Source organism: Homo sapiens, chromosome 1 (genome assembly GCF_000001405.40).
Source record: "Homo sapiens chromosome 1, GRCh38.p14 Primary Assembly".
Taxonomy (NCBI): domain Eukaryota; kingdom Metazoa; phylum Chordata; class Mammalia; order Primates; family Hominidae; genus Homo; species Homo sapiens.
Window position 1 is genome coordinate 14,504,367 of NC_000001.11, and position 19,162 is coordinate 14,523,528.

A 19,162-nucleotide genomic window follows, 5' to 3' on the forward strand; every position below is an offset into this window, starting at 1 on the left:
GATACGGGAATTCATGGAAACAAGTGAAAACTAGCATAATGAGGATTAATGAAATGCCAGGCATTTTCTCTTGTGGAGAAAGAAGCTACTGAGTAAGCACTTCCAACAAGCGAGTTCTCGTCGGCAAACTGAATTGCAGAAAGGAAGCCAGGAGAAGGTGCAACACGGAGTGGAAGCAGCTGATACGATGGGATCTGCTACTCGAGGGGAGATGAGAGCTATCTGGGAGGAATAATTTTTGTAGGAAGAGAAGCTAATCAGGGGCAATGGGCTTCATCAGGTAAGTTGCATCAGCAACGCCCATCTTCCAGTCAAAGCTTTGAATTAACATAATCCTCTGTAATCGTCTAAATTCCAGAGTTCTTTGGAAACATTAATGAAGAATTTCCTGCTCCACCCTCTGAGGTAAAGTGCTGTAGGATAAATTTGTTCTCCCTTAATGGCCAAACTCATGTTCAGGTGGAGGCCAACAAATTAAAGGTTTTAAGTTCTTCTTGTATTAACTAGAATTGTTTAGGTTGCAAGTGATAGAACATGACTTGAACTAGCATAGACAGAATGGAGACCTGATTAGAAGGTTACAGGGTGTCCCTGGAAACCCAAGGGCAGTGGAGAGCTGAGCCTTAGGAAGCAAATACCACCGAAAAGTGTAGCTCAGGAGGGAACTAGGGATGCCTTCTACTTCCTCATCCCTTTTCTGCTTCTGTGTAAAGGGGTTTTTCTGCTTCTCTGCCCACCTCTTAGGAAATGGCCACCTCGAATAACTCCCCACTTGAAGCCTCTCCTATTTCCAAGAATAGCCATGCTGATGGGCATCTCTTGGTCCCATTCTAAACTCCCAGAGAAAAGGCTCATGGGCCAGCCGAGGCCAGTGGCCATCCCTGAACAAATCAACCGTGGCCAGGAGGGTGGGTCTGAACATGGTTCCGCCCCTTCTAAGCAAGTGGATGGAAGGAGGAAAGGGCAGGTTCTAGAAGACAGGTCCTAGGCAGACAAGCCAATAGATGTCTACTATGCTTCTTCCTTCTGTGACATGTGATATCATCCACAATTGTGTGGCAATAATTGACTAAAGCAACGAAAACCTGAGATTGAATGCTCGAAAGTTCACTAGGGTTGAAGACATCATGCTAAGTGAAATAAACCAGACACAAAAGGACAAATACTCCATGATTCCACTTATCTGAGATCAAATAAATTTGATTACTCTAGAGTAATCAAATTCATAGAGACAGAAAGTGGGACAGTAGTGTCCAGCAGGAGGGGAGAATGAGAACTGATTGTTTCATGCACAAGGAGTTTCAGTTTGAGATGATGAAAAAGTTGGCTGGGCGCGGTGGCTCACGCCTGTAATCCCAACACTTTGGGAGGCCGAGGTGGGTGGATTGCCTGAACTCAGGAGTTTGCGACCAGCCTGGGCAACAGGGTGAAACCCTGTCTCTACTAAAATACAAAAAATTAGCCAGGCGTGGCGGCATGATCCTGTAGTCCCAGCTACTCGGGAGGATGAGGCAGGAGAATCGATTGAACCCGGGAGGTGGAGGTTGCAGTGAGCTGAGATGATGCCACTGTACTCCAGCCTGGGCAACAGAGCAAGACTCCATCTCAAAAAAAAAAGTTCTGGAGGTGAATGGTGGTGATGGTTGCTCCACAATGTGAATGTACTTCATGTCACTAAACTGTGCACTTAAAAATGGCTAAGATAGCAAATCTTATGTATATTTTACAACAACAAAAAAATTACATAAAAAGTGACCTAGAGGGTGAGGAGGACAGGCCAGAAAGATGATACCACTTGGGCAGATAATGATGTCTTTTTGTGCATCTGTGCCACACAGTGGGTTATTCTCTTTGCTTAAGAGGACATGTTTTTTCTTCTTTACTTGGAAAACTCTTAGTCTTCAAGGCCCAGCTGATATAACCCATTTCTGTTAAACCAGACTTCACTCTCCCATGGTGACTTAATCACATCCTTCCTATATTTCTATAGCAGTATATATGTCATACGATGCTATTACTATACATCACATGCCATGATCATCGTTTATACCTTTGTCTCTCCCACTGGCCTGTGAATTCCAGAGCAGAACCATGAGAACAGTATCATATGGTGGTTCAGACATCAGACTGCAGAGCCCCAAATCGCAGTTCTGCTGCGCACTCACCTGTAACCTCGAGCAAATTGCTTTCTGTGCCTCAGTCCTTTCAACTGCCAAAGTGGGGATCATCATTATATTTATCTGGGTGGCTGTTGTGAGGATTGAATGAGGAAGCCCACATAAAGCATGGTATGGATTGCTGACACATCATAAGTGCCCGATAAATTTTAGCTCTCATTGTTATCACTTACTGTCAAACACGGTGCCAGGGACAGTGCTTTAGAATGCATGAACAAAATAAGAAAAGAAATAAAACTGTGTGTATGTATATATAAATTGTCAGCTATAAGAAAAACAAATGGAGCCAAGATTAAATAGGAAAAGATACGGTGGCTACCGATTGGACTTGACAGTGGTCTCAGCTTTGCAAAGGAGGCTGTCTGTATTGGTTCCAAATGCCATTCAGGAAAGATTAGGCTGAGCCCTAGTGAGAACACTAGGAAGGTTGACCAGCCATCCCATTGTGGTGCATCCGCATAAATTAGGCACCCAGATCATCCCTTCCAAACATAGATTTTCGTTTGCCTTCTTCCACAATCTGCAGAGAACAGATTGGCACTAAATATGTACATTGCCTTTATATTTCCCCAGAGAAAGAGATCGATAAAGCCCCTGTTGGTTTGCAGAGCATGGGTTTCATTGTGGGCCAGGTCCTTATTTTTAGTACTGGATCTCTTGCTTTCTGGACCACACTGCTGCATAAGATCCCTCTCCGAACCCCTTTTATTTTTATTTTGAGCCACTCTGACTTTGAGGCCCATAATGATGCTAAACAAAATTCTCATTTCAGTAGAATGGGGGCTTTGTTCCCTATCACAATCGTCCATCTTGGTAAAATGACTTACAACAGCTGCTCGGAGAAGTAAAATCTGATAGAAACAGAGTGTGCATAGATATAAACATAAACATTAGTTTCTATGGAAACAAAAGTTGCCAAGCGATGGCTAGAAGACCTAAAGAGCCTGTATTCCAGGAATCAAGTGCTAAATATATAGTCAGTGCATCCGCCAGGGATCACACCAGTAACGCAGAATTCTTTCTGAGAGTGGAACAGAGTGCATATAAGATTTTGGCTAAAATAGACACCACCTAGCAGAATCAATATGAAGGAGAGCTGTCTTTTCTTCCCCAAATTGAAACCGTATTTCTTTTCTTAATTGAAAGCCTTGGGGCAATGAATCAAACACTGATGGAATTCAGTCAACAATTACATCCATGGGCACCTCATTCTGATCTCCCACCGAAGCTCTGCAGGTCTAATAAAAATTTGATGTTAAAAAAATACAAAAAAATTAGTCGGGCACGGTGACGGGTGCCTGTAGTCCCAGCTACTCGAGAGGCTGAGGTAGGAGAATGGTGTGAACCCGGGAGGTGGAGCTTGCAGTGAGTCGAGATCGCGCCACTGCTCTCCAGCCTGGGCAACAGAGCGAGACTCGGTCTCCAAAAAATAAATAAAAAAAAAAAAAATGTGACGTTGCAGTACTTGGAGCAAAATCTTCCCAAGACTCTCTCAGATGGACCCAATTCTTGTGACCCCCCAGTACCCTGCCTCCACATAGCCACCTGCTTTCCCATCCTCCTGCCATCATTGAGGAGTCCCTGAAGCAGTTGTTATTCCTGGGGCTGAAGGACTCTGGCTTAAATGACATTGGAAGTGCTACCCCAAGAGAGCCTAGGTATGTTCGTGCAAAGCCATCAGGCTGGACTAGAAGAGATAGTTCTGGGCTCCACGCTGGACTTGTTGAAGCTCAGGTGTTCCCGAGACAGCCAACCAGAGAGAGCTCATCTGTTCCCGTCACTATTGCTGTGCAACAGATTACCCCCAAGACTTCATGACTTAGAAGGATCTTCTCATTAGGCTCGCAGATTCTACGGATCTTCTTATTAGGCTCGCAGATTCTACGGGTAACGTTGCCACACCAAAGTTAAAAATATAATAATAAACTACGGATGAATTTTAAGACCTTCCTTAAACAATTTCAAATTTTTAAAGAAAATTCCCTACTAGACGGATAATAGTTTATGGCCTCATCATAGCAGCAACCTGGTGGAATCACCTGGTTTCAATAGAGGCGCTCTCCACTAGTCAGCAAGCCCACATGACATCAAGAGTTGCCGTAAGTGGAGGGCTTAGAGGACCCAAGGGTCCAGGCACACATCATCCAGCATTTATGTAGAGCGCTTAAAGCCCAGTATAAGAGTAATTATGTTTGCTCTTTGGACCTCGCCCGTTCTCCCTTCATGGTTTCAGAAAAATCTCGGCCATAATAGTCACCATGGTAACAGCAACATCTGCAGTGGATCCAGCCTGGAGGATATTTAAGGATCAGAACCCGATCAGACAGGAACAGGTCCCATCCTGGGTGCAAGCAGGAAACTAGGAAGGGCATTTCTGGGATCATTGCTTGCCTGTTCTGTCCTGTAAGAAAGCAGAGACCACAGCACTGTGCAAACAGAGCTAAGGGCTTATTGGAACCAGTGGAAATTTAGTGCAAGGATGACAGGGAATAGGTTAACAGGGCAGTGAGAAAGGAAAAGCGTATAGTGTTAGCACGGAGGTACTATGATGTGTGAAGAGTTTAAACAGTCTCTGAAGCACAGTGTACCACCAAGGTATTCTAGAGAGTGCTTTGCCATGGGCAAATTCAACTACTATTTATTAAAGGCTGACCGTGCTCCAGGACCTATAATGGTGGCTTACACGTATCATTGCATTTAGTTTTATACTATATCCCTACAAATATGGTAGAAATGTGGTATGACTATCCCTGTTATATAGATAATGAAATCCAGGCTCAAAGAGGAAGTGACTTAGCTTAAGTCAAAGCTGGGATTCACACCTAGATCTTTCTACCACTCAAGCGCATGGTCTTTCCACCAACCAGTGTGGCATGTCCATGATGGATGGAGATGTGGCCCAGCTCACCAAATGGGTGAAACTGCCATGGCCTTTACGCATGTGAAGCCTCCTTTGACAATGTTCTATCTGAAATGACATCAGAGAGGTAGGCGAGGAGCCTCGTAGGGCCGTGGAAAAAGATTAAATTTCATTCTAAGAGCAAAGAGACACACCTAAGTCCATTCTCTCATTCACAAATGATTCCGTGAGCTTGCATCACACGCCAGGCCTGTGTCTGACACTGGAGATACAGCAGTAAACAAGACAGACAATGCTGTGTCCCCCTTTTCCTGGAAGAGGCAAAAACCAAGCAAGCAGATGAAAAATAAATACACACTCATCTTATGAAGAAAACAAAACAGAGTGATGCGGTATAGAGGTCTGAAGGATGGAGAAAGGGCCCTTTTTGGATAGAGAGATCAGGAAAGGCCTTTCTGAGGAGGAGATATTTGAACAGAGACCTGAAGAAGGAGATGGAGCAAGCCATGCAAAAGCTGAAATAACATTCCAGAAGGATTCATTAGTACAAAGGCTCAGAAGTCAGAAAGGGCTTAGTATTGAAGGCCAGTGTTGCTGGGGCAAGTTACAGGGACACAAGTGTGAGATGGAGTTAGAAAAGTAGGTGGTGCCAGACATAGATCTCCGGTGAGTACAGTTGCCAAATAAAATACAGGACTTGGCCAGGCACAGTGGCCTATAATCCCAGCACTTTGGGAGGCCGAGGTGGGTGGATCACCTGAGGTTGGGAGTTTGAGACCAGCCTGACCAACATGGAGAAACTCTGTCTCTACTAAAAATACAAAATTAGCCAGGCGTGGTGGCATATGCCTGTAATCCCAGCTACTCGGGTGGCAGAGGCAGGAGAATTGCTTGAACCCAGGGGGTGGAGGTTGCAGTGAGCCGAGATGGCGCCATTGCACTCCAGCCTGGGCAACGAGAGCAAAACTCCATCTCAAAAAAAAAAAACAAACAGGATGTTCAGTGCAACAAATAGGTCAGCAACAAAATCTTTTTTGTATAAGTATGTCCCAAATATGCATGGGATATACTTTATACTAAAACAAAGGTATTCATGGTTTATCTAAAATGCAAACTTAACTGTGTATCCTGTACTTTTATTTGCTAAATCTGGCAATGCTATATAGTGAGCTCTCTCAGGAATTGATTCTGAGAACACTGTAAAGTCATTGAAGGGTCTTAAGCAGGGAGTGACATGAACTAATTTACATTTTTTAAAGATTATCCTGGCTGCTGTGTGTAAAATGGATTGTGGTGAAGAAAGAGAAGAAGCAAGAGAGAGTCAATGTTGATCAGGCAAAGGATGATGATGGCTTGGCTTAGGGGGTGGCTGTGAGCTCAGAGAGTAGACTGATGCAGGATACACGTTGGAGGCAGACTCAACAGAGCTTCTAATGGACTGGGAGGTATGGACAGAGGGAAATTGGAAAATCAAGGATGACTCTGAACAATTCAAGAGCAAATTCTCATCTGCTTTTTATGCCTAGGGAAGCTTCTTAGATGTCAAAGTTGTCTTAACTAGACCAAGAGGTCTCTTCGTCGCTCAAGATACATGATTAATCTTGGTGGCCATTGGTGATCCTCCTCAATTCTGTAACCTTCACCAATACTGTACAAGTTGACCACTTACATTATTAACACCATGGGCTTTAGAGTTATCTGCGGGGGGTGGGAGGGTGGTCCCAGTTTCTATGTTGCATGTGATATTCATTCATTTCCACTCACTCTGTTGGAAACCAGAAATAGCAGACAGCTGAGACTCTAGATGTTTCCATTTGTCAAGCCAGTTTTGAAAGATGAGGTTGCTTTAAACCTGAGCTACAACAAACTTTACCCAGGAGAGACACAACAGTTCATTAAGTTCTTGTGGGCTTAACTAAGAGAGACACATATTGGAGCCAAGAAGAATTTATTAGCTAAACACAGCCTTCCATTGCCAGCCCCAATCACTTCAGGGAGTAGAAACTAGTAAAAGAGAGTTTGGGGAAAGAATTTAGGGAACAAATTCTAAGTATGGCAGAACTAAACAAAGAAGCCCTGTGTCCCACTGATCTGTGTATAGCTTTCAAGACACTATCCCTACTGTATGCTTTCACAAAAGCAGAAGAAATAATCACAACACATTTATCATTCACCGGGCAGAATTATTTTGGCAAGAAATCTATGCCCTGGAATACATTATACTAACGGACAACATATTCTGAACAATGTAGATTTTCAAACCTGGTAGGTGCTTATGCAACCATGTCAGGCTAAGGGACTGAGTGATTATGTTATTATATGTGTATCAAATATTTTGGATAAATATTAAATGATCCACAAAGTCAGATCTTGTTAACACAGGAAATGGAAACCAGCAGCTTCGACAATCATGTACTAAAAAGCCAGACTGGGAAGAAGAATTCAGAATGTTCTGGGTGGAAAGCTGCATTCAACATAAATAAACGCATTAGTTTAAACATCAGCATTCTAAAGACTGAAACAAAGCTGCTTATCCACTATGCATAACTCACACGGCTGGAGGAGGCCATGGAAGAATTTTTCAGGGGGTGGAAAGGGAGGTCAGGATGGAATTCTTCTGGAGAAAATGTGGAGGGCACGCTGCTGTTTTCCCTACTGGCACAAATGCATGTTGACATCCAGCTTTCTTCTCAGATGCTACGAGATTCATAGAGTATCTTTCTCCCTAGGAATCCACAGTAGACCACAGCACTTAGGATGATTTGTGTGTTCGCGGGTCAGGAGAAAGGAGTTTGTCCAGGACATCTCCTGTGGCCGCATGTTAATTTGGAGGGACGATGTGAATTTATGTCTAATTGGTAGTTGAGGGCAAAGTTTCTCCACCTTAGCACTATTGATATTTGGGGCTGGATCATTCTTTGTTGTGGGGCGCATTGTAGGATGTCATTGTAGGATGTTTGGCAGCACCCCTGGCCTCTACCCACGGGATGCCAGCAGCACTCACCGCCCACTGTGACAAACAAAAATGTCTACAAATGTTGACGAATGTCCCCTGGGTGGCGCAGAGCCCCCCCACCCCCACCCCAACCCTAGTTGAGAACCACTGAATTAGGCTGCATGGGTAGATTCAGGACATTAGCCTATTAGCAAATCTACTGACTCAAGAAAGCACCAACTAGCTCCAATTCCCTAATTTCACAGGCAGGAAAATAAAGCCCCAGAAAAGCTAAGGCCCATCCCCAAGGTCACACAGTTCGCCGGGGTCACTAGAACACAGCCTGCCGGCTGCTGTTCCGACACCCACTGGCACATTCTATGCCCAGATTCCACCCTGCTGGGTTTATGAGCGAAATTAAGATGGAGATAAAGTCAAAGAGCAGATTTTCTCATTCCTATTCATGGCAGTATTTGCAGAGAGGTACAGGTTTATTCAGATCTGACAACCAGGACGGTCCTCTTCCGATGACACCTTCCTTGGACGATCAGGCCGGCTCTTCTCCTGCTGAGAGAAGTAGCGTCCCTCTCTTTCTCGGGTCTGAAAAGCAGGCAAGTTTAGAGTGCATTCCCTTACCAGGTTGTTTTCCTCATCAGCCCAAGTAACAAAAAGGGTTCCAAAATATCACATATGATTGAGATTGCTTATAAAAGATCTCTTTCTAGTTTGGTTTCCCCAGCTCATTATCCACAGCCTTGGGAAAGCTGGCCTGCTTGGGGATGTCTCCAGGCACACTCCCTTTGGCCCTTTTCCTTAGAATCATGTCCAATTTCTTCTGCCTTTAGGAAAAGGATATTAGGGCAAACCGGCTTCTCCTTCAGGCGTGGTATAACTTATTGTCTTAAGCCTCTGTGTTAGCCGGTCCCTCTCCTCCAGCCTTTGGGAGGTTTCTCCGACTCCCACAGTCAGAAGCAGCATCAGAGAGAAATTGCTCAAGTTACCGATAAATCCCCATTCTTTTGTTGATAGACTTCTGTTTAAACCTGGGCCCAGGCTCACTGGGTGGCTGGGAATAGCAGCCATTTTCATAATCCTCAATCACAAAACCCAACAAGCTTGTGTTATGTGTACGAGTGTTTCTGACTAATGAATTGCCAAGCTAAAGAACGGGGAATCTCTAGGTCTAGTTTTTTCCGTCTTTCTAAGGTACAGCAGAGGGCCAAAGAGAATCAGATTCATGAAATAGAAGAATTGCAAACCTGTCTCTTGAGCTCTGATTAACAAAAGAGAAAACATGCCCTAAATGCCGGATATTTTATACAGACTAGATGTTGAAAACATATCATAGTAAGCATTTTAAAATTGGGACCTTATTTCAACTTTACATCCTAAAATGCTGCTGTTATGGAGGGTAATTACATAATAAATTTGTTAGGGGAATATACAGCAATAAAAATGGTGGTAATGGTTTGTCATTTAACAGCTGAATTGTAAATGAGTTTTTCCGCATTAATGTAGCAGGTTGCTACAATTAGAAGATCATTCTTAGAGGTGTCTTTAATTTCTAAAAAAAAAATTTCTGAGATTCAATATCATTAATTTTCTCATTTAAAGATACTACATATTTAACCATTTGAAGTCAGGGACATTTGAGTTTTTGAGGCATAAGCACCAGCTGAGCCGAAAAAAAATATTTTTTAGGCCGGGCGTGGTGGCTCACGTCTGTAATCCCAGCACTTTGGGAGGCCGAGGCAGGTGGATCACGATGTCAGGAGATCGAGACCACCCTGGCTAACACAGTGAAACCCCGTCTCTACTAAAAAAAAATACAAAAAAATTAGCCAGGTGTGGTGGCAGGCGCCTATGGTCCCAGCTACTCGGGAGGCTGAGGCAGGAGAATGGCGTGAACCCGGGAGGCGGAGCTTGCAGTAAGCTGAGATCGCGCCACTGCACTCCAGCCTGGGTGACAGAGCAAGACTCTGTCTCAAAAAATTTATATATATATTTATATATATTATATATATATTTATATATATAATATATATATATTATATATATTTATATATATAATATATAAATATATATATAATATATATAATTGCAAAATATATATATTATATATATTTTATATAAATATTTTATATAAATATTTATATATGTAAAATATATAATATATGAAATATATATTTTAGATATATTTTATATATAATATATGAAATATATATTTTCTATATATTTTATATATTTTTTTATATTTTATATATATATATATATATATATATATATATATATATATATATATCTCAAATTGCAAAAGTATAGCAAGAATCTGTGCCTGTATTAGTAATTCCACCAAGGGAGTCAGGTAGCATAATGGTTAAAAATACAGGGTCAACCACCCACTAGTTATACGGTCTTGACAAATGACTTCAACTTCCTGAGCCCCCTTCCTGAACCTCATTCATAAAATGGAACTAATAAACCAATGCACCTGATACAATTGTTGTTCCATACAGGACACTGTTTTGTGTTGATGGATGAAGTCAGATGACATATGCTAAAGACCTAGCAAAGTCCGTGGCTCACAGTGTGAGCTAAAGAAACAGTGGCTGGGACTTTTGCTGATGTCATCATTCACATAGAGTATCCCATTCCTCTATGATCATCTTACTCTTTTTATCCTTTTTATTTCACACTGTGCTCCATTTCCAAACCTTTGTCCCCATGTACCCAGTTCTTCTAGAATGGACAAAAATTAGAAGACAGATTTTTCCCTAAATCCACCTGACACTAGGTCATAATTCTCTCTCTTACCAATGAAATCAGGAAAATGAACATTTAATGACCTTGTGCTATCAACTCTCTCCTACATGATCTTGCTTAATCCTTAAAGCCCCCGACACACCCAGATTATCCTATTTTCAAGTGAGAGGACCGTGAATTTAAGCAACTTGTCCAATGTTCCTCAGCTAGAAAATGGCATAACTGGGATTCCAATCCAATCGCTGTAGGAAACAATCACTGAATGCCTGATACTTGCGAGGCAGTGTGAATGCAGCAGGAGGGATGGGAGCAGGGCATGTTCATGACATGGAAGCGGCTGTCAGTCCCACCGTATGTGGGAACCACACAGGCCCATAAACAAAGCACTTGGGAAACCCGGAAGCAGCAGAATCTTCAATGCAGGAGCTGGCTTCTGCCTCCCCTCCATCCTTCTCCTGTTCTACCATCCCGGCCTCACTCACTGAGCTCCAGGCCACTAACCTCCTTTCTGGTCCTCAGCCACACCCTGTTTAGGGGCTGCCTTAGGGGCTTTCCCTGGAGCCCTTGTCCCCATGAGACCTTCATTGCTGTTTTTTCTCAAGTCTTAGCCACTACCACCTCACCAAGTCTTTGTGACTGCTTGACCAAAGGGCTCTCCCTTCCACCACCAGCCGTTTTATAACCTATCAGTCTGCTTGGTTTTCTTCATGGCTCAAATGGTTCTTACTTCTCCTGGAAATGCTTCTGTTCATGCATTGGGTCCCTTGCTTATTTTGCATTTCTCCCAACTAAAAAGAAATCCTAGACCCAGCATGGTCTCACGTAAGCTCCATGAGACCACAAAATCCTGTGTGCCTTCTTTACTCCTTCTTTACTCCTGTATCACTAGGGCCTAAACAGGAGATTTTTCTTTTAACAGAAAAATAGTAAATTAGTAAGATGGTACTCCAACTGCCTGGCCAACCAGGTTCTAGAAACTGTGTTCTGGTCTGAATTCTCAGGTGTTTCGCTTGAGCAGCAAGTCGAACGTAAATTAACTGAAAAACAGCAGGATTTAGTCTTTCTGTCTGCTTCTTTGATGGTGCTGAAGGTTAGAGCAGGTTACAGAGCAAAATAACCAGCTCTGATGTCATTCCCTGCTCTCTCTCATGATCTCTCTGCCCTCCTTTTCTCTGTGTTGGCTTTACTCTCTAACAGGCTCTCCCTCGTGGTGGTAAGATGATCAACAGCATCAGCAGCATCTCTTCTCACCGGCAGATCAGAGTGGTTTAGGTGAACTGACCCAAGCCCTTGGATGTAGAGAGAGGAACAAGACCTAGGCCTGGTCAACCAGCATTTCCATGCCCTTGACCACAGTGATTGGCTCAGAGATGAGCACATGACCCACGTCAGGCTAATGAGACTCAAGTCTATGAGTTTATGCAAAGTGTTAGGAAGCAGAGTTCTCTTCTGCGAGAAACAACAGACTCTTAACAAATATTTACTGAGTCAAGGGTCAATGAATGAGTGACTGATGTTGGAGTCATTTTATTGTATCAAGGTATTTGTCTTGTATGTTTGAAGCTCTGACTCTGTTCCCAACTGTCAGCTCCTTGAGGGCAGGCACCATGCCATCTCCCTTCCTATTTCCAAAGGGGGAAAAATAAATCAGTCCTTACCTATTGGTTCCTGTCCTTTTCCCATCCACAGCTCCATTTCTCTAACAAGAACCAGCCTTCTTCTTCTTTTCTATCACCTTCAATTTCTGCACATAGACTTTCTCGGTAAGAAAAGGCAGTCAACAAAATGTGTGTTTTAAATCATCTGTGTTCTCCTAGAAGTAAAGAATCTCATTGTAGTGGTGGTTGTTTTGCCTGCCAGGTACCCATTTACTAGTTTTCTGATATAAAACATTGCTCTTACTTTAGGGAACCATCTCTTCTCACTGGCAGGTCACAGTGGTTTAGGTGAACTGACCCAACCCCTTGGATGCAAAGAGACAGAGAGAGGCATAATACCTACACCTGGCCAACCAGTGTTTTCCATTACCTTGGCCACAGTGATTGGCTCAGAGATGACCGTGTGACCCATGCCAGGCTATGAGACTCAAGTCTATGAGTTTATGCAAAGTGTTAGGAAACAGAGTTCTCTTTTTCTGTGGGAATCGTGAAGCTCGTAGAATGTAAGCAAGTTGCTGCTGATGCTGGTGATCATCTTACCACCAAGAGGGAGAGCCTATTAGAAAGTAAAGCCAACACAGAGAAAAGGAGGGCAGAAAAATCATGAGAGAGAGCAGGGAATGACATCAGAGCCCCTTGATCCAGCCACACCCGAAGCTAAATCTGCCCCTGGACTTTCCAATTTGTGAGCCAGTAAAAATCCCTTGTTCTAACTTACTCAGTTTGAGTCATTTCCAACCAAAAGGTTAATGCAGAAATCAAACTGACAATAAGAAGCCTGGAACACATGCCTTAGCGCCATTTGTGACTCACAGCATGAGCTTAAGCTCTTCCAGTCCTGCACAGACAACAAGTCGGGCTACAATCATGAGAAACACCTTAGAGCAAAAGCTGGAAATATTTGGGTAGAAAAGAACATTTGTTTATCTTCCAGCTCATACACAGTGGATGTGCAATCCTAATCTCTTTTTAAAGGGCAGTTCTTTGGAACAGGATGCTGCTTAAATACCAGGTCCACACAGCTGCCAAGAGGAACATCATCCAGTTATTATTTTTCAACAGCAGTGAAGTGGATGGATGGCTCCACATTTTCTCATTGCCATAAAACAAAGCAGAAGAATATAAGCCATTTTAGCTGTAAGTGTGTGCTCAGCCCCTGGGAACAATGAGAAGGAAATAGAGTACAGGAAATGAAGCTAACATTGCCAAGCACCTACTGTCTGTTTCAGAATGAGTGATGGGTGTTTTACACTCATTTTTGGGATTGGAGTTCTGGGTTCAAGCCCAAGGTCTGCCACTGACTGGCTACAGGACCTTGAACAAGCCACTTATTTGCTCTGGCCTTTCACGTTAAATGGGGTAGTTAGTCTCTGTCATTATCAGAGAGCCATGCTTGGTAACTGGAGTCTTTTTGAAGGCTTTTTTTTTTTTTTTTTTTTTGGGCAGAGTCTCGCTGTGCCACCCAGGCTGGAGTGCAGTGGCACAATCTCCACTGCAACCTCCATCTCCCAGGTTCAAGCGATTCTCCTGCCTCAGCCCCCTGAGTAGCTGGGACTACAAATGCGCACCACCACGCCCAGCTAATTTTTGTACTTTTAGTAGAGACAGGATTTCGCCATGTTGGCCAGGCTGGTCTCCAACTCCTGACCTTAGGTTATCCGCCCGCCTCAGCCTCCCAAAGTGTTGGGATTATAGACATGAGCCACTGCACCCAGCCTGTTTGAAATCATTTTTAAAGAAAAAGTAAGAAAGCATTAGGAATGTCAGCTGATTAGAGTCCCAGGTGATGAATTTGCCAAGGAAGAGATGATCTGCTCTCGTCGCTTCATCTACAATATTTGGGCTGATGAATACAGCCTTCCCATTGCTGTTGAGCTGTGTGACAGTGCTCGTAGGAGCTCCTGCCCTGACATCAAACAGCCCGGCTTCCCGTCCAGGCTCCAGCACTACCACACTGTGTGTCCTCCATCAAGCCTCCATTTTCTCATCAGCAAGATGGTGAAAATACAAGGCTATTAGGAGAATCAACATAGATACTATATTTTGAGAGCTGTGCACAGTGCCAAGCACGTAGGTGCTCAATAATTGCTAGTAGTTAATATTTTGAGAGCCAAATCTGATGCTTTTATTGGAATGTGCTAGATCTGAAAATGCTAGAAGCAGGGATGGAAGGCAAGTTTCATCTGCATGGGGACCCAACTTCGGAGATCCTGTTGCTCTAGGGACCCTGAATAATGAGGCAAGTATTTTGCCTTCTTTGGGCCACCATTTCCTTAGCCATAGGTGAGGGGTAGGAAGGGAGTAAGGGAAGCGGAGTTTAGAAATAATCTGTCCCTGAGTCCCATTCAGCATGGACTGCCTATGATTCTAAAATAATTGGAAATTTTTAAAAAAAAATTTAAATAATAAAAACAAAAAGTTTCTGGAATCAAAGAAATAGCCCCTGACTACACAGCTTGAAATGGACCCTACAGGCAAGGAGAGGAGGGCCCAAGGCACAGGACTGAGCTGCAGTTTTGTAGTTTGCAAAGAAAGCAACCCTCTGCTTTGCTTTAGATGGCCTCCGAGGCCAGTTCTTTGGGCAGAATCCAGAAACAGGAAGAAGTTGCAGAAGAGAAGAGGCAAAGAAACAAAGAAAGGACTTGTCTGAGAAAAGCAGCCAAGAGCAGCATACATGTCAGGGACAGTGAGGGTGCTGAGCGGCAGATACTACCCTCGTGGGTATCCTCCCTCAGTTGAGGCTCTTCCCCTCTCCCAGTTTTTCTTACCCCCAGTGGCACAGATTGCCTTTGGAGAGAGCTGACCTGGGAGAAAGAAAGTCCACTTTTGAGTTTCTAAAGCCTAGGCCAGGGCACGAGAGAGATATGAAAGCATAAGTGGTGAATATCCTCCCATCTGGAGGGAAGAAAAGAGAGTAAGAGGGAAAACAGAGAAAATGTGGATGCCAGAGCACCCTGGACCCTGCATTACCCCAAGAGACTTTGGGGGATTCCAGCCCATGGATGACCTGAGAGATGCAGGAGGATCCCCAGAGTCCCATGTGTCTGGCATGACCCAGCAGCAGGAGAAATGTCTGAGCTAGAAGTGGATAGGCCTGGGTTGGCCTCACAGGGTTCCCTGTGCCAAGCATGAAGTCAGAACATAGAGTGTCCTCAGGCACCCAGAGGGCCCCATGATGGTGTGGGAGCTGTGGATGCTTCCCACGAGCCCAGGCATCTGTCACACATGTGTTTCCTGCCATTGCACAGATCGTGCCATAGGTGGTGGCAAGAAGACGCCTTATAATTGGGGCCAAGGAGCACATAGCAGTCACATATACAGCCTGTAGACAAAAGTCAAGATGGAGAGAGAGATCTTCAGGAAATGAGGCCAGTATGGCTCATGGATGACACAAGGCCCAGTGGTGTCCAGTCCTGGCACTTGTTCATAATCACAGACATTTCATTTATACAACCCTATGATCCATTGGGTGTGGCCAAGCTGGAAACAAAGAAACTGAAATGACCACACATGGCCACAGGATTTCTCTCCTCCGGTGGCCACAGCCCAATGGAGGAGACAGACCTCCCGAGAAGGGTGGGCATGGGGTGCCATGATAGACGTAGCAAGCAGGAACAGGGGTTGGGGTCACCATGTGAATGAGAGAGAAACAGGCACTGAAGCTGCAGGAGCCTGGGGGACAATTGTGCATGCCAGGCACCTAGAAAGCAGGAAGAGGGGAGATAGCAGATGAAAACACACACACTAATCCAATGCCCATCTCCATAAAAAGCAGTGGCTCATGGGACAACCAAGAGAGCTCCTCTGACTTCCTGCCCAAGCAAGAGCATAACTAGGTGATGGGGGCAGAGGCTCTGAGGAGCCCAGGCAAGAGCTCAGCACAGCTTTGCTAAGGTTCGCCTCTGGAAGCAGCCACCTCTGGGAATTTCCCTGGTATCTGTTTGGGCAGAGACTGAAACTGAACTGAACCATTAATAGCCTGTGATCATCCTCCCAAACTCCCCCCAAACCTTAATTCTTTTGCACTAAACCAAAGATGGTTTTGTTTTAACATCTGATTCACCGGACTCAACTAAAAAATGAAAGAGCTGAACCAAAGGAGCAGAATAATCCCAGCACCTGCAGCAAACTGTTCATCCATCCAGCTCCATTCCCTGGGCAGGGCAGGTTCCCCTAAGGCATTGTTCTATTGGGAAGAAGGCCCATGAGAGGCCAGAGCAGGGAGAGGCATGCAGTGGCATGATCCAGAGGGAAAAGGAAGAGAAAGTAACCATCCGAGTACTCCCCACTCTTGGAAGAGCCAATAGACAAAATCCAGATGAGCTTATGAGTAATGGATGTCCTATGTGCCACAGGGTGTTACAGGCAGATGCTGAGGGAGGGGTGCAGCCAACGTAAGGAGAAATGCAAATAAAGATCAGGCTTGGGGGCAGGGGTCTGATGATGCCCCCAAAACGCCAGTCAGCAGGGACTCTGACATTTAAAGAGGCACCATAACCACTTGAGCCAAATCTCTTTTCACTCAGTGTGCCCAATGTGATATTTAAACAGAAATGTCGCCCTCACTGCATTTATGCCCCTCCAACCCTTCAGAATTGGGTCTGCTGTCCAAATGGCTCATGTGTGTCCACCTTCCAGAGCCAAAGTGAAAATTTCTGATAAAAACAGAAAAAGGTAAATTTCGGCTTTATGAACTCAGGATTAAATCAGGCCAGGCCTTTCTGTGAAATGTGAACCCTGTAATGCTGAGAAATTGAAAAAGCCCTTGCTTTTTGAAGCTCTGGCCTATCTTTAATTGAACCTTTTGCATGAAATCATGAACCATGGCCGATGCCATGAAACAACTCAAGGAAGAAACCAGCAAAGCAACTGGCTTTGAACTGAGACCTGCGAACTGAGAACCGCCTACAGTCCGTAAAAGACCAGCCTGGGCCCTTGGGTTGCCCTCATCCTGTTTTAGAATCGTCTCTTTTCTTTGAAAACTGGGGAAAGGGAGGAAGTGTGGTTACTGAGGATTAAGCTTGAGTCGACCTTGAGTTAGGGGTCAAGTTACCACATCATGGTTTGGGTCAGAACTGATTATTTTTGGCAAATGTACACCAAAAAATCACATTTTTTAAGTGGATAAAAGTGCACCATAGGAAAAAATTCATTTTCGGAGACATCAGCACATTTCAGTGAGTACTGTGGCTAAATTTGAAAGAATGTGAACTTTTGAGATTACTAATATACATCCAAATGTGTGTTAGGGAATGTACATTGAGCTCTGTTATTCCTAATCTTTTACACAGGCCCTCTCCACCAAATTTCATAGACACATTAGAAAAAGGAAAGCCACTCACACTCCTGCTTGCATAGAAGTCCCCTGCCTTTTGCCAATGAGCTTTTCTGCTCCCAGATCAACTTGATTAAGTAAGATATAATTTTCTGCTTCTCTCTCCTGGCATAGGCACGGCTGTATAATGTCTTCGTTCTCCCCAGTGAGATGCCTGTAACTGACCTAACTTAAAGAGAAATATGTTCTGCCTCCCATCTTCAGAGGAAGAAACCCTCTGAGACCTACATGTGATTTGTCTTGTTGCCTGCAAAAGTTTGCTCTTTATGGTGACAGCTAGGCTTGCTTGGGAGATTTGAACAGATACAGCTTCTTGGTGCAGCTGCCTCTGCTCTCCTAATTTGATCCTGAGCCTAACAATTACAGTTATCAAGGAGCCAGCTCTTCCAAAAGGTTTCCTGCAAATCACGTCATCATCTGTGATGTGTACAATTTGGTCTCTTGGATTATGCAATGATTCTGGGTGTTGTTTTAAAGCCTGACTTTAATAAAAAGCCCGAGAAAAGAACAAATGCAAATGGGTGTTGACGTGGACTGCCCATCCTCTGGCACCAGCAGTAGAATACAGACAGTACCTACAGCAACACAATAGATAATGCATCTGCAATTACCGGGATACTTAACATGTGTTGTATAACTCATCGGAGAAAATATAGATCTTTTGTGTGTGTTTCAGATGTAGAAGGAATGAATGAATCACAGGTCATAAACTCAGGCGTGGGACAAGTATCAGATCTTTGTATTTTCTTCCAAGCAGCTTAATTTCAATCGTGACTACTCCATGCCAACAGGTAGGCAGGAAATTCCACCTCATTGATTCTCTGGGTGCCCCTGTTCCCACCCAGAGGGTCTTTCTCTAGCACCAAGGTGCTGGGAGGGCTCCCTGTCCGCCTGTAATTCCCCCAACTCCCCAGCATGTACGAGCTATGAGTCACTAGGCCACACTGGTTGCCATGGAGACACTCATCGTCCTAGTCTACTGGTCCCTCCAGGTTGAGGCTGCGGCTTCCACACCAGGCATGGAGGCTTCAGGATCTTGGTGAGGCTGGGAGGCACCTCACCCTTCCCCACTGGCATCCTCACCAACCCCCTGAGCCTGGCCAGAGAGCAGGGTGCTGCCTCCCCTAGCTGTCAGAATACTTTTTGGCTCCCAGTCCAGGGCAATAAACTTTTCTTCAAAGATTCTCTCGCTCTTCATGTCCCTCCCAGAGTTGCTCCCTCTCCACCAAACCCATCCACCTCTGTGATTGTAAGCTTTGGCAAACCAAGGCCAGAAAGGGAGCTGTCCAGTGGGCAGCTCCAACTCTCCACCCTGCCTGGAGCCTCCCAGCTCGGAGCTTGTGGCCTACCAGAGACATGGAAAGGGCGGAAATAAAGAAAAGCAATGCCCAAATAGATACAAATGTGTCCCATCCCTGCAAATGTCACAAAGTC

The 19,162-nt window shown here is 44.4% G+C and overlaps 1 protein-coding gene across 6 annotated transcripts in view, besides 5 other annotated features; it reads left to right on the forward strand.

Annotated features, from left to right (window-relative positions):
- KAZN (kazrin, periplakin interacting protein) overlaps nt 1–19,162 on the forward strand; it is a 1,225,220-nt gene that overhangs the window by 611,543 nt on the left and 594,515 nt on the right. The window lies entirely within an intron of this gene.
- Nucleotides 12,561–13,760: an enhancer, noted in NCBI's record as "CDK7 strongly-dependent group 2 enhancer chr1:14843423-14844622 (GRCh37/hg19 assembly coordinates)". NCBI's record gives its function as "activates an origin of replication core promoter dependent on BRD2, BRD4, P300/CBP, MED14 and CDK7 cofactors, with strong dependence on CDK7, by STARR-seq in HCT116 cells {active_cell/tissue: HCT116}" and the evidence as "EXISTENCE:reporter gene assay evidence [ECO:0000049][PMID:35650434]".
- Nucleotides 12,908–13,177: an enhancer, noted in NCBI's record as "active region_223". NCBI's record gives its function as "activates an Ori minimal core promoter by ATAC-STARR-seq in GM12878 lymphoblastoid cells {active_cell/tissue: GM12878}" and the evidence as "EXISTENCE:reporter gene assay evidence [ECO:0000049][PMID:35858748]".
- Nucleotides 15,705–15,814: an enhancer, noted in NCBI's record as "active region_224". NCBI's record gives its function as "activates an Ori minimal core promoter by ATAC-STARR-seq in GM12878 lymphoblastoid cells {active_cell/tissue: GM12878}" and the evidence as "EXISTENCE:reporter gene assay evidence [ECO:0000049][PMID:35858748]".
- Nucleotides 16,115–16,174: an enhancer, noted in NCBI's record as "active region_225". NCBI's record gives its function as "activates an Ori minimal core promoter by ATAC-STARR-seq in GM12878 lymphoblastoid cells {active_cell/tissue: GM12878}" and the evidence as "EXISTENCE:reporter gene assay evidence [ECO:0000049][PMID:35858748]".
- Nucleotides 18,659–18,748: an enhancer, noted in NCBI's record as "active region_226". NCBI's record gives its function as "activates an Ori minimal core promoter by ATAC-STARR-seq in GM12878 lymphoblastoid cells {active_cell/tissue: GM12878}" and the evidence as "EXISTENCE:reporter gene assay evidence [ECO:0000049][PMID:35858748]".